Consider the following 14,578-nt stretch of genomic DNA (forward strand, 5'->3'; position numbering starts at 1 on the left):
TCAATAATTTTATAAATTCAAAGATGGCCCATTGGGATAAAAGTTCCAATGAAAAAAAAAGTAGATTTAGTCCAAGAAGAATTCTGAGGAAAGGATTTGAAACTAACTCTTTGGCAGCCTTGAGGATAATCTGCAATGTCATGGGAGAAAGACCCTTTTAAGAAGTTCTTTAATGTTTATAATTTCATTTGAACCTAAACAGGAAAAGGAAGAATGAACTGCTTAAGCCATGAGGATTGTCAACTTCTTTGTTACCCTTCACCTGTTGTGACCATGTCTGTACCACAATTCAGGCTAATATTTTCTGAAAAGGTCCATAGGAATGTTAATAATATTTGTGCTGAAAAATAATTCTTAGGTTAAATAAATTTGGAGAGCTCAGGGCTAAAGAAAGTTTAACAGGCCTATTGACTCCAGGCTTTCTCAGAGACGTTAATATGTTAATGAACATTGGAACCTGCAAGAGGGGTTCACAGGACAAAAGCTTCTTAATTTGACTTGTAAACTGTAATCTGACTTGACCACGGACCATGAGTTTTTCAAGAACTGTCTCTTGGGACAAGTGCTTAGCAGACTGTGAGAAATGCAGATCTATGTGAGCTGGGACAAAGTATGTCTTACTGACTTTGAATTACCCGAATATAGTAATTCTCATCATCCAGAAGATGGTAAAAATGAGTGTGGGTATATATGTGGGGTTAGATGTTCCTAGTAATCTCTGTGGTTAGTAAAAACCCTTTTGGCAAGGTGAAGGTCTCAAAGACAGTAGGGACTTAGAGGGAGAATAAACTATCAAGAGCCATTAATACTTATTATGTAAGATATTAAATTTCCAAACAAACCATATTTGTAGGTGTTCAAAATCTCTGAGATGATTAGTGAGATTTGCTCTTTCAGTGCCTCAGAGGTTTCATGTGTAAAATAGGGATAGTAATGCCCACCTCCCATGGTGATCTTAGGCTTAAAATAGACAATGCATGTAAAAGAACTAGTATATAGTAAAAAGTACCTAGATGGTAGTTTTCTCCCCATTATTAGGATAAGTGTTTCTGGAAGCACTGGAGATGGCGCCTCTCCTTGGTTGTACAGGTTTTCAAGGAGGTGGTGGTAGGTTTATATCGAGATTGTCTGGGAGAAAATTTTTAAAAATATGCACACTCAAGTCCCTACTCAGTCCTAGTGAGTCATAATTTACTGGTGGTGATACAGAAGGATGCATATATATTGTTAAAAACTTCCCGTGTGATGATTATGATACACCTTCAACACCTGTAATATACTTGCAGCAAATCCCTTAGTGGTAGCCCACCCCTCCTACAGTAGTTCTGAGATGTGTTTCTTGGGATAAAAGTTTCTTGTGCTTAAATATTTAGAAATACTACATAATAGCACCTGTCCTTCTCCTTGGGGCTTATTAAAGTATCAGAGAAATTCTGCAGAACACATATTTGAAAGCTTGTAATCTATTGTCTTCTCATATTACTTGGCCTTGCAACATTTATTTTTCTTGCAACTCTCATCAACATGTTTGTTCAATACGTTAGGGAAATCCTATGGTACCGAGTTAGCCAGAAGCGAGTTCTATCCATACTCAGAAATCTTTCTGCCCTAAAAGTATAAGGGAGAAGCAAGGTCGCAAAGAGCAGCCAAGATGTCTCCCTCCAGGGAGCAGGCTGAGCCCACTTTCATTATCCCTGCCACCCTCTATCTCTATGTGGAAAGAATCCTGGCAACAATAAATGTGTGCTTTCAAGTAAGCATCTCTGTGTGAACGCAAGGTAACAGTTAAAGGGCCAGGGAGATGAAGTACTGAGCCTTAAAAACTGAGGCTCTGGGACCGGGCACAGTGGCTCACGCCTGTAATTCCAGCATTTTGGGAGGCTGAGGCAGGCGGATCATGAGGTCAGGAAATCGAGACCATCCTGGCTAACACGGTGAAACCTCGTCTCTACTAAAAATACAAAAAATTAGCCGGGCGTGGTGGCCGGCACCTGTAGTCCCAGCTACTCGGGAGGCTGAGGCAGGAGAATGGCGTGAACCCGGGAGGCGGAGCTTGCAGTGAGCAGAGATCGTGCCACTGCACTCCAGCTTGGGCGACAGAGCAAGACTCTGTCTCAAAACAAAAACAAAAAACAAAACAAAACAAAACAAAAAACTGAGGCTCTGGACAAACCTGGCTTTGAATCCTGCTTCAACACTTCCCGGCTCAGTGACCTTGGGCAAGTTACAGGACCTCTGTATGCCCCAGTTTCGTTTTGTATAAAATGGAGACAATAATAGTGCCCATCTCATTGGGTTGTTTTGAGGATAGACGAGATAATCATGCAAAGCCCTTAGTATGGAATCAATAAAAGTCTATTATTATTACTAAAATGAAAAAAACACTCTTGAGCAAAGTGAGGGGGAGAATCAAGAACTGAGACAGAGTAGAGAACCCTGGAAAGCTTCAAGCTCAAATAATCTTCCTTTCACATAGGAATTTACCTCTCTCTCTTTTTTGTTTTTCTTTTTGTAAATCATCTCAGCGAGTGCTCTGTGAGAACTGAGGGTTAGGGTTGGAGAGACTCATTAAATAGGCTGGTCTATAGCACCGGAGTGTGAATGACCCTTTTACCTGACTCTTCATTCCAGCTAAATCCCAAACTATCTGACTAATTAATATGCAAAACATAGTTTGGGAACTGCTGCCAAAGACAAAAAGAAGTCACTGGTTGAACTGAAACAACACTGAAATGACTGCCAGAGAGAGTAAGAAACATTCAGAATGTTGGGGTAGGGAGGCTAAAGGGGAGATTTATAAGTTTTACTGCTCCTAGAACTTTAAAAAAAACAAAAACGGTAGAATAGGCCAGGCACCGGGGCTCACACCTGTAATCCCCACACTTTGGGAGGCCAAGGCAGGTGGATCACTTCAGGTCAGGAGTTCGAGACCAGCCTGGCCAACATGGCAAAAACCCTGTCTCTACTAAAAATACAAAAAATTAGCTGGGTGTGGTAGTGCACGCCTGTAATTCCAGCTACTTGGGAGGCTGAGGTAGGAGAAACCCTTGAACCCAGTAGGCATAGATTGCACTAAGCAGATTGTGCCACCGTACTCTAGCTTGGGTAACAGAGCGAGACTGTCCAAAAAAAAAAAAAAAAAAAAGGTAGAATAGCATAGAAAGTCTCAGAGTGCCTTGCATGTGGTGAGGCTAAGGTGTCATTCTTACATACTCATTCACACGCATATACACACGTGTATGTGTGTCAGCATGTGTGAGTGTGTGTGTATCTATGTGTAATATTTTATACATTTCTCATTGTTACTGTTGAAAAGACTTGAAAGCCTCTGGTCGAAGGGCAGGCTACAGAGTTCTGAGCCCAGAAACAGGCTGTTATTGCTTGTCTAGAATGACTCTGTGAACTTAGACCAGATCTCACCCTGCCTTTTTGCAAACACTAGGGTGATTTAGCAAATGCGGCTGTAATAAGCAAAGGGTGAGAAAACTCAGAGACAGGCCCCTTGCTCAGTGATTGACTCAGAGCCTGGAGACCAGTGGACATGCTGATCTACAGTGAGTGGTGGTGGTTTCCATTTCCAGTGGTGGCAACTGCAGCCTCAGTAGCAGCAATGGTTCCCATTTATTGTGAGTCTCTTGGGTAGCAAACTCTTTATTCTGTTCTTTACTTTCCTTATACCATTTGAATTTCACAGCAAAACCATGGGATAGCTATTATTATTCCCATGATATGCATGAGAGAACAGGCTTCTGAGGACCAAATCAATCACACAAAAAGGGTTTTATGAGAGCTGTTTATCAGGTGCTTAGAGAGAGGCAAGGCAAGGTACAATGACCCTTGCTCCTAGAACTTAAAAACTTATTTTGAGAAGTTTGAGTCTGGAAAACTGCACTCTAGCTCATGAGAATCTCTGAGGAATAAATCATTTGCTTTCCTTCTCCCAAATCCTCTGACTCATTCCATTTCTCCCCAGCCAAAGGCTGGCAGAATGAAGAAAAGTGATAAAATTGTACTCTTTTCCCTGGTTAAAGAAAGGGACCATATTGGAAATCAACTCCCACAAGGAGAATTTTAATTGCAAATTGGGATATCACACCCAGCTTCAGTCAGTCAACACATATTGCCTATGAAAGCATTGATATTAATACCAACTGTTCCCTGGTCTTTTACTATGTGCCTATCTTCATGCTAAGTAAGTCATGTACCTACCATTTAGTCTTCAAAACTACCCTATGGAAAGGGAACTATTTTTGTCCCCATTTTCCAGATGAGGGAACCAAGGTGTGAGAGGACGGTAACTTGCCCAAGGTGAGATGGCTGATGAGTGGTGAGACCTGGGCTTTGAACCCATCTCAGTCAGACCCCAGAGCCAGAGCTTTTACCCACCAAACAATAATGATTTCTCCATGATGTCTGAGGTACCATTTATGAAAGGGTGGGGATTAAACAAAAGTGTCAATGCCACTGCACTCCAGTCTGGGTGACAGACTGAGAGCCAGTCTCTCTCTTTTTTTTTTTTTTTTTTTTTTGAGACGGAGTCTCACTTTATTGCCCAGGCTGTGATCTTAGCTCACTGCAACCTCTGCCTCCTGGGTTCAAGTGATTCTACCGCCTCAGTCTCCTGAGTAGCTGGGACTACAGATGCCTGCCATCACGGGGCTGGCTATTTTTTAAATTTTTAGTAGAGACAGGGTTTCACCATGTTGGCCAGGATGATCTGGAACTCCTGGCCTCAAGTGATCTACCTGCCTCTCGGCCTGCCAAAATGCTGGGATTACAAGCTTGAGCCATTGCACCCAGTGGAGACCCAGTCTCTTAAAAAAAAAAAGATATCAGTGATCTCTGTCTGCCCTCAAGGAGGCTTAAGCACTGTTGAGAAGTTAAGGAATACACAAATGGAAACATAGTTAATGATACCTTGCTGCAGTTTAGGAGGGGCAGAAGGAATATTAGGATTCGTGGCAGGAGAGATTGCTAGGACTGAGCTGGGCAGAGTGAGTTGGGATTGGATGAGCACAGAAGAGGAGTTGGTCCTAGTGATGATGGAACAGACATTAGACTCCTCAGTTCAGAGCAGAGAGTATAGTTTCCTCAGTTGAACAGAGTGGATCCCCATTTAGAAACTCTGAGGCCTTCAGCAAGTTATTTAACTTTACTAAGCCTCAGTTTCCTCATCTGTGATATGCAGATAATATCCATCTCAGAGGGCTGCTGGTAGGATTTAGTGTATCTAAAGTGCTAGGGAAAAGGAGGCATCTACTACTTTCCCCTCTACCCAGTAGGTTTAGTTCAATTTTCCAGTAGGGTAGGCTTGCATCCTTTCTATGACTTTACCATTGAAGATATTAGAAAGAGCCCTACCTGCTGTGAGAAGCCCTTCACGACACATCTTTGCTTGAGGTTTGTCTCTCCATCCAAGCTGGCAGTTTCCAGATGGCATATCCCATTGGGGTCAGAGGAAAAAAGGAGGAGTATGTCTGCTGGGACAATCTCATTGCATTTCATTTGGATGAAGTCTCCCACGCGCACATCCTTCCAGCACTTCTGCACATAGGTCTGCTCTTTTCTTGGGTGAGAGAAAGACAGGGTGTGAGTGAGCTTTAAGTTTCCTCAGAACACTAATGAAAGAATAGAGGAAGGTCCCACCAGCACCTAACTATCCACCAAGTCAGCCTGTCATGAGATTGCCTTGTATTCTACCTTACCCCTGAATGACCACCTCATAATCTCTCTAGAATAGCTAGGCATAATCTACAGAATCTCATTAGTAAAGATCTGTCTTTGGCCGGGTGTGGTGGCTCACACCTGTAATCCCAGCACTTTGGGAGGCCGAGGTGGGTGGATCATGAGGTCAGGAGTTCGAGACCAGCCTGGCCCATATGGTGAAACCCTGTCTCTACTAAAAATACAAAAATTAGCTGGGTGTGGTGGTGCGTGCCTGTAGTCCCAGCTGCTCGGGAGGCTGAGGCAGGAGAAACGCTTGAACCTGGGAGGCGGAGGTTGCAGTGAGCCGAGATTGCGCCACTGCACTCCAACCTGGGTGACAAAGCAAGACTCTGTCTCAAAAAAAAAAAAAAAAAAAAAAAAAAAACCCAAACCAAAACAAAATCTGTTCTTATGAACATTTAGAATTTTTCTTGCCTGCCAGTTCTTGACCAAGTTCTGTGTTCAGCCCTTGCTTCCTTAAAAGATAAAAATTTTAAAGGAGAAGGTAACTGTATTGTCATATTAATATGGTTCTACTGTTAATATCCACTATTTACCAGAATAGCCAGTTATTACCAAAGAAAATAGAGTTTCAGGGAACTGGGATATGGGAAAGATTGTTTTTGATTATAAGGAGAGTGACGATAGGAAAGGCGAGGATCTCTGCCACTGTCTAGGAAGATCCGGAGCCACACTGAAACAGAACACTCTGGGCAGTCCAGGAATTAGGAGGATGCTACCAGGAGTTTTGATGAAATGAGACCTCACAGTAACTGTGGAATTAGAGGGCCGAAGAAATCTGAGGAAATCTGAGGAAATTATTTTATCTTCCTATCCAATTTATCAAGCTGAGATAATAGTGACAGGAACAATGACAAATTTAGCATTTCTTACCTGCCAAGCACTTGTGTTCATTAACATTTCATTTACTTTGCATAATAACCCACAGGAGTAGATATTATCATACCCATTTCACAAGTGAGGTAATTGGGGGTCAAAAGAAATTTTTCAAAGTCTCACAAAAACAGAGCTGGAACCTGAACCTGGGTCCAGCCCGACACCAAAACCCACAGTTTTTGCTGCTTGGGTATACTACCTCCCTGCAGCCTCAGCCTTCCCACCTCCAGCTAAGGAACTCCCCACTTCTCAAGGCAATGCATCCTTTTTTTTTTTTTTTTTTTTTTTTTGAGACAGAGTCTTGCTCTGTTGCCCAGGCTGGAGTGCAGTCGTACGATCTTGGCTCACTGCAACCTCTGTCTCCCAGGGTCAAGTGATCCTCCTTCCTCAGCCTCCTGAGTAGCTGGGATTATAGGCGCCTGCCACCATGTCCAGCTAATTTTTGTATTTTTAGTAGAGATGGGGTTTCACCATATTGGCCAGGCTGGTCTCAAACTCCTGACCTCAAGTGATCCTCCTGTCTCGGCCTCCCAAAGTGCTGGGATTACAGGCGTGAGCTACTGCTCCTGGCTGCATTGTATTTTCAAAGAACTCTCATTTCAGAAAGTCTTCCTTCTGCCTAACCAAATATTTAAACAGTTCTGCTCTTCCAGGTAATACGGTCTATTCCACCTTCTACCATTCTTTAAATATTTTAAGGCATTCATCAGGTGTCCCATGAAGACTTTGGGGTGTGCCAAGCCAAATTTAACTTTCCAGGTGCCCTCAATTATTCCTCATGTGACACAGTTTCAAGATCTGTTCCGGAGGTGTGGGCTCATCTGTCTGCATTTGGAAATGTCCCGCTTTAAGTGTGGGATTTGAAACCAAACTAATATCCCACATGTGGTCTTTCTAACTGAGCCCAGCTGGCTTGAAGCTGGGTGCCTCTGAAGGCAGCCAGACCGGGAGAAGCAAGCTTTCCTTTGCTGGGCTTCTTCACTGATGCTGAGCCCCTCTGGGCATGTTCTTGTTTCTGTTTCTGCTGGAATCTGAGCTGCACTGGGCATGACACATCTACTCTTCCACAGAGAAAGAGTTGTGAATAGAATTCCAGTTTTCTCCTTTGACATCACAAAAGTCCCTGAGGAGGAAGAGGGTTTTGGTGTCTTCCTCCCCTCCTGGAGGCCCTCTGGAGAATCTCAGACAAGTCTTCCTAAGATCCAATCTTCCTGGTTATAAAAGATCTTCTCAGAAGACTTCCCCAGCCACCTGAAATAAAGGTGCTTCCATTTGGAAGGCCAAGTCTATAAAATAAACAGGGACATTGGAATTGGGGAGCAACTTTAGAACTCGAAAGAACCACAGGGTTCTGTGGAAGTGCTCTGTGGCTCTGGGAGCTCAGTGCAGCAGACACGGTTAAATGTCATCCAAATGACTATTGAGACCCCTTCTGAGGATTCTGGGGGTGATGCGTCTGTAGCATTTTAGTAATAATTCCTCCTTACATGTGAAAGCACATAACAGGTTTCCAAGCACCTTTCAGTTAATCAGCTCATTCTGTGCTTCCACTCCACCCACATCCCTTTTCTTTTCCTTTAAATTTTTGCGGGTGCATAGTAGGTATATATATTTATGGGGTACATGGGATGCTTTCGTACAGGCATGCAATGTGTAATAATCACATCATGGAAAACAGGATATCCATCCCTTCAAGCATTTATCCTTTGTGTTACAAACAATCCAATTGTACTCATTTAGTTATTTAAAAATATATAATTGAATTATTATTGACTATAGTCACCGTTGTACTATCACATACTAGGTCTTAATCATTCTATTTTGTTTTGTTTTTTTTTTTTTTTTTTGGTACCCATTAACCATCCCCATCTCCCCCCAACCCTCACTTTTATTTTCTATGAATAATAGGGGCAGTCACCCCAGATTTGTTTCCCTGTGCCATTTTGGAAATACATTTGATTATTTAAACATTTTGTTGTTTATTTATATATTTAGGGTGGGAACTCCTTCACTAAGAGTGCCATTGTAACAGTCAAACACCTCGTGGTCTCTCTGCTGACTCAGGGGATAATATTTTTCCTTCTTCAAAGTAGCCCTGGGAAAACCTGTTAAATATCCAAGTATAAGGCTACTTACAGGCATTGGAATGGTCCATACTCTCTGTGAGAAAAGAATCTCATAGAGTGAAGGAGAGACTGGTTTTCTTTTTTCTTTTTGAGAGAGTGCTTTAAAGTGTTCTTAAATATTATAGCAAAATTGTCCCAAGGAACAAAGAATGTATCACTCATTCTGTCTTGTCTTCCTTTTTTTTCTCCCTTCTTTGGCTTCTGTGTCCTACTGGATAATGCCTTTGGGGATGTGGGGTATCAGTTGACTGCTATAATCTCAGCATTCTACCCAGTATTTGAGATTGGATTCAGGGAGAACACCTTCCACTCTGAGCAAATCCTGATCGCCAACCCTCCCAGAGCAAACTGGTTTTGATAAATACTCGTTGGCCAGTATCTGCATACAGAGGCATATCAAAGGCAAGGCCAATGCACCTCCACCCATGAACACTGAATCTCATTCTCCCCCTTTGTAATAAAGGACTGCACTGCTTATTCTAGAATGTGGATTATAAAGGTGCTGGAAGATGGAGTGCTATGGAGAGGAGCTTGTGGCATATGTGTTTTTCTGAGCTGTCACTTCTGTGAGCTGGGCTGGAGTATTGTCCTGTCAAGTCCTGTCATGATCTAAGTATCAAAGGAGCCACCCACAAGTGGTAAGTCAGACTAGTCTCTCTCTTCTTTACATTACTTGCTGGATCCCAAGGAGGTCACTGCTCTACTGGTTATAATTGCCTGTCTTTTCTTTAGACATAATCCTCTCTTCCTTAGGATCGCATGCAGTGGTGAAGAAATATTCTCAGTGACTGTTGTGGGTTTGCCTTCCCCAAGACAGAGATAGCCCAGTTCCAGGGTTGAGCTTCTCAAACAGAAGCACACATACCTCCAGGATACCCTGGTAGGCATCTAGGAATAATAAAGCTATGAGATCCATATGACTTTGGGAGCATTCATTAAAAAAAAAAAGTTTAGGGGAAACATAGTTCAGTAGTTTGGCCAGTACAAAATTTGAAAAATTTTATTTATAGTAACTAAACTTAGTTATGTTATGGAATCAGAGACACATTTTGTAGGAATTTTGGGGATTAAAAAATGAGATCAGGGATATTTCCTTCTTGCCCTGGGCCACTTTATGCTGATTCTCTAGCATCTACTTTGTCTCCTCCACTGTCAGGACCATATCTGTGGAAAAGTCAGGGATGCACACAGCCCAAGGGGGTTCAGTCAGGGGAGGTGATGACTGGCCGAATCCTGCTGATACAGAAAAGCAGCATGCTCTTGCATGGAGTGAAGCCCAGGGGAGACCAGCAGCTGGCCAGGAGCCGCCTGCAGAAGTCATTCTCTCATTAATCCAGCCTGTTTCGAACAGCTGCCCCAGGTGGAAACATCCACACACCCTGGACTGTCCCCCTACTAGAGGGTCCACACCTGGGAACTGACTGCTATTTTAGTTTTATGCCATGTTCACTGCTGTTTAAAAATAAGACAAATCAACATGGCTCGGGATGAAGGCTCCATCTGGCAGATTCTGCCACGAGGAAAATTAAGTGGTGCAGTGCTAAATGGCTTTCTGAGAGGAGATAGGGATTATTAAGAGGTAAATAAACAGCAAGAGAGGTTTGTAGCCAACTGGATGCCATGGGGGAGCAGGTGAAAGGCGAAATAGAGGGAGGAGAGGATGCTGAAGGCTCCATTTCTCAAGCATCTGGATTTTATTAAGAGAGTTTCAGGCAACTAGAGTAGAGGGGATTTTTCAGAAGGATTAGTTAACTTGTGGAACTTCCCATTCCACACAGGATGATGAGCTGGCCTGGCTGTCCTTCAGGAAGCTCGAATGCCAGGCCCAGAATGCTCAGTGCCATGTCACTAACCCAGGGTGAGAGAGGAATGCCCGACAGAGTGACTGCAGCATAGGGATTGAGAGAGGCTTTGAATCCTGGCTTCTCTGCTTACAACTTGTGTGACCTACAGATCACAATGGGGTTGGGGAGGTGGATTAGACTTGCAGGGCTCAGGGAAGCACCAGAAAGAAACAGCTGAGGCCAGAGAAGCAGGGGGGTGGGGGAGGGGGGGCGACCAGGACCCCTGGCTGGGCTGGAAATAGTGGAGGACACATGTGATATTTACCAATCTGAGGATGCCTAGATATATCTGTGGAGAGCTGAGGATTAGGGTGGGAGGACTGAGGTTCTAAGTCAGCAGATTGGAGCTGAATGGCATGGTCACTGGGACGTTTTTATTAATGGGACCTCATTCATACCCAGAAGCTAGTGAGGGCTGGAACATTTGGGTTACATTAATACAGTATAAAGTTCTTTATATTGGGAGGATGTTTGAAGCCCCAGGTCTGGGGATAACCCACTCCTGACCTTTTTGACCATGTGGTGGCAGTAAAGAAAGCAGAACTGCACATAGAATGTCACTAAGCAGTGATGGCCATGGAAACACAGTGCTTCAGAGGACATGGAAGTCACAGGTGCCATCCAGCAAGATCATAGCCATGGGTTACGATTCTTCAGCCTGGGGGTATTCAAGGATATGAATTGCCTCCCAAATGCTCATCCTTTAACCTCTGCAGATCCAAATGCTGCCTTTCTCTTTTCACTCCTGGGCACTGGACATGACGGTGCACATCTTGTTGCCACACTTCCCTGTATATTACCATCCTATTTCCTAATTGTCGTGTGCATCTTCTATTTTAAAGTACGTAAGAAGCTTGCTAAGAGCTGCGATGATCCTGGGTCTTATATTTCTATATGCACATAGGGTTGGGTATAGTGTTTAGCACATGGGGAGTGTTTAGTAAATATCAATTGATTCCTTGTATATTTTTCTTGAATACAGGTAGTAGAAAGGCAGTTTTTCCTAACCTTTGGCCATTTTAACATCTTTGTTATAGATACCCTAGTGGAGACTTCTAACAATGATATTTTAAATTATTAGCTTACATGTATTGACTACCTATAATGAACCCAGCATTTAACCTCCATTACAGGTTAGCTGCCTAATAATGGAATAGCTTTTATTTTTATCATTATCCCTATTTCATAGATGATGAAACAGGCTCAGAAAGTTATCTAACTTGCATAAGGTCACACAGGTGTGTCTACAAGGACAGATGAGTGATGGTGGTGGGAGTGACATGGCTCAGCATGGTCTCGTGGCTCTGTTTTGGAGTGAGGCATGAAGCTGATTGAGCCTCAGAAGAAGGTGACATAAACCTAGCAGAGGTTGGGTTGAGAACAGGAGCCTCACCTTTTGGAATTCTGATCTCCTTAATGGCAAAACAGAGGCCATAAATCCTTACCCGTGGACATACAAATCATGCCTGATGACAAGAGTGCGGAGCATCAGGGACACCTGAATTCTTGTTTTATGACTCTCCCACCCAGTGAGTTTTGGGGAGGACCTAAAGCATTCTCTCCTGAAATGACAAGCTGAATTCGCCCAAATGGTTTATGGCCTTCTGTGAGCACAGGGTGAGGCAGTGGGAGTAGCATGGGCACCTGCAAAATGGATGCTTCAGAAAGGAGCCTGGTTTGTTGGTGCCAAGTGTAGAGCAAAGGCCTGAAGGCTGGATGCAATGGTCTGCTGGTCTGTAAGTCCAGCCAACTGCACTTTTCATAGCCAGGAATGATAATGGATGTTTTTCTGTTGTCTGCATTTTTCAGAGTCCTCCCCGAGGCCCATTTTGTTATATTATTAGAGCTTGGAGTCGAGTTCTATGGTTAAAGATTTTTTTGTCTTCTTTCATGCAGTTCCAAACTCGAGCCTGTGGTCATTCTTTCTTACTCCCCTTGGGTTAAGCTCGTGATGACTTCTGCCTATCAAGGCTACCGAACTCTCCTTAGCAATATTTAAGCTAACATTTTATGAGTGCCACAGGCACAAAGCTAAGCATTTTACATGCAGTAACTCATTTAATACCTGCAGGCAGCAACCCCAGAATATACTTTTAGGGCAAAGATAGGCTTATGACTGTATTTTGATGTTCAGATAGCCCTGGCAAAGCTTAAATTCTGCCTGGTCAATCAGTTCATCTTCTTTTGGGGGTTTCCTTGAGGGCTGTTATTCAGAGGAAATATTAGTACCAAATTGCAGCTTTATTAACAGCTGTACAAATATGATATTCTAACATAGAGTCTATGTTAAGAAGTTGAGTTGGACCAAGTGGCTGAGGCTATGAGCCAGATGAGGCCACCTACATCCCTTTTCTGAATCTAAATCTTGGTGTGGGTATGTTCAAGTGTGCTGTGGCCAGAAATAAAAGAAAGAGGGCTAACCTCTAGACAGTTTTGCTGAATTCAGATTTTAAAATTCTGCCACATAGACTAGCAGGAAAAATGAGAGCGCAAAGCATAGATTTTGCTTTTAAATCATTATAACCCTGTCCACTGGTATCTGTGGCTCAGTGAATGTCCTTGGCTTTTCCCACTAAAACTATAGAACTAGCAATTCCACCCTTGTATGTGTAGGACACACAGCAAAAAAGATAAAGCCTCAGGCTGGGGTTGGCATTGAAAAGGTTAAGCTTGAGATGATTGGAAATTAAAAAAAAAATTACTGGCTGGGCGTGGTGGCTCACGCCATAATACCAGCACTTTGGGAGACCGAAGTGGGAGGACCACTTGAGGCCAGGAGTTTGAGATCAGCTTGGTCAATATAGTGAAACCCCGTCTCTACTAAAAATACAAAAATTACCCGGGCATGATGGTGCATGCCTGTAATCCCAGCTACTCGGGAGGCTGAGGCAGGAGAATCCCCAGCCCGGGAGGCAGAGGTTGCAGTGAGTCAAGACTGCGCCACTGCACTCCAGCCTGGGCTCAAAACAAAACAAAACAGAACAAAAAACAAAAAAATTACTTAGTACTACTTATGGTGCAGGCACTGAGCTAAACAATTTATAAAGATAATCTCATTGGATCCACATGACCCTGGGAGTCAGGGGCTAGTATCGGCCCCATTTTATATAGGTTGAAATGGAGGCTCAAGTGACCAAGTATCTGCATAGGCCACATATTTGGTAAATGGCAGCTCTGAGAAAAGCCCAGGTCCCATGTCAAAGCCCTCCATGCCAAGCATCCAGTAAGGTCATTGCTTTACTCACCCTGTGGCATTGCATCCTGAAGTTTATTTCTATAGCTTCATTATTTTCAAGCCCTCTTATATGTCATCTGAACACCTTTTCACAAAATATGCCAGAGAGATATTATGATCACTATTTAAAGATGAAACACATGGGGCCCCAACTGCTTAAGTGGCTTCATTTAGGTCATGTAGTTAATTAGTGACATAACCAGGATCAGGACCTCTGGCTTCCTCCCTTGTAGGTTTCCCTGAGGACACAGGTGCAAACTCACAGACAAAAGAAAACAGACAAAAGAAAACAGGTTGCAGGCCAGGCCAGGCTAGGCCCTCGGTGCTACGCTGTCAGAAAGCTGTTTATTTTAGCAGCTGCCTGACTTACAGAAGACAGATGCTCCAAGTCTCAGTAAAAAGTCAGATTAAAAAAATATATAATCTATATTATTCTTCCACTAAGTTTCTATCATTTCTTGGTCCTGGTCTTTCTAATACCAGCATAAGCCACACATACAACATTTCATTGACACAGGAACAGGCTGTGAGCTGAAATATGTTCCCTCTGCCTGGCTAAATGTTGCTCCTCCTTCAGGGCTCTCCTGAAATTTTACTTCTTTTACTGAAAGCTTCCCTTGGCCTTGACGTTTCTGCAGGTGGGTGGGTCACCACATCCTCTGCACTTCTGTGTCCCTTTGCAGGTAGGCTACCGAAGCACGTGGGACATTGTAGCTATTTGTAAGTTCCTCGTGACCCCTAGACTGAGAGTCCTTTGAGGGCACATAAGG

At 43.3% G+C, this 14,578-nt stretch overlaps 1 protein-coding gene across 15 annotated transcripts in view; it reads right to left on the reverse strand.

Moving 5' to 3' along the window:
• Positions 1 to 14,578, reverse strand: part of ATP10B (ATPase phospholipid transporting 10B (putative)) — a 366,241-nt gene that overhangs the window by 101,982 nt on the left and 249,681 nt on the right. For all 15 annotated transcript variants that reach the window (XM_017009252.2, XM_047416995.1, XM_011534468.3 and 12 more), the window contains one exon: positions 5,362 to 5,566. In XM_017009252.2, the coding sequence (XP_016864741.1) occupies positions 5,362 to 5,566 (205 nt within the window). The remainder of the gene's footprint in view (positions 1 to 5,361; positions 5,567 to 14,578) is intronic.

This window comes from Homo sapiens, chromosome 5, assembly GCF_000001405.40.
Source record: "Homo sapiens chromosome 5, GRCh38.p14 Primary Assembly".
Classification (NCBI taxonomy): domain Eukaryota; kingdom Metazoa; phylum Chordata; class Mammalia; order Primates; family Hominidae; genus Homo; species Homo sapiens.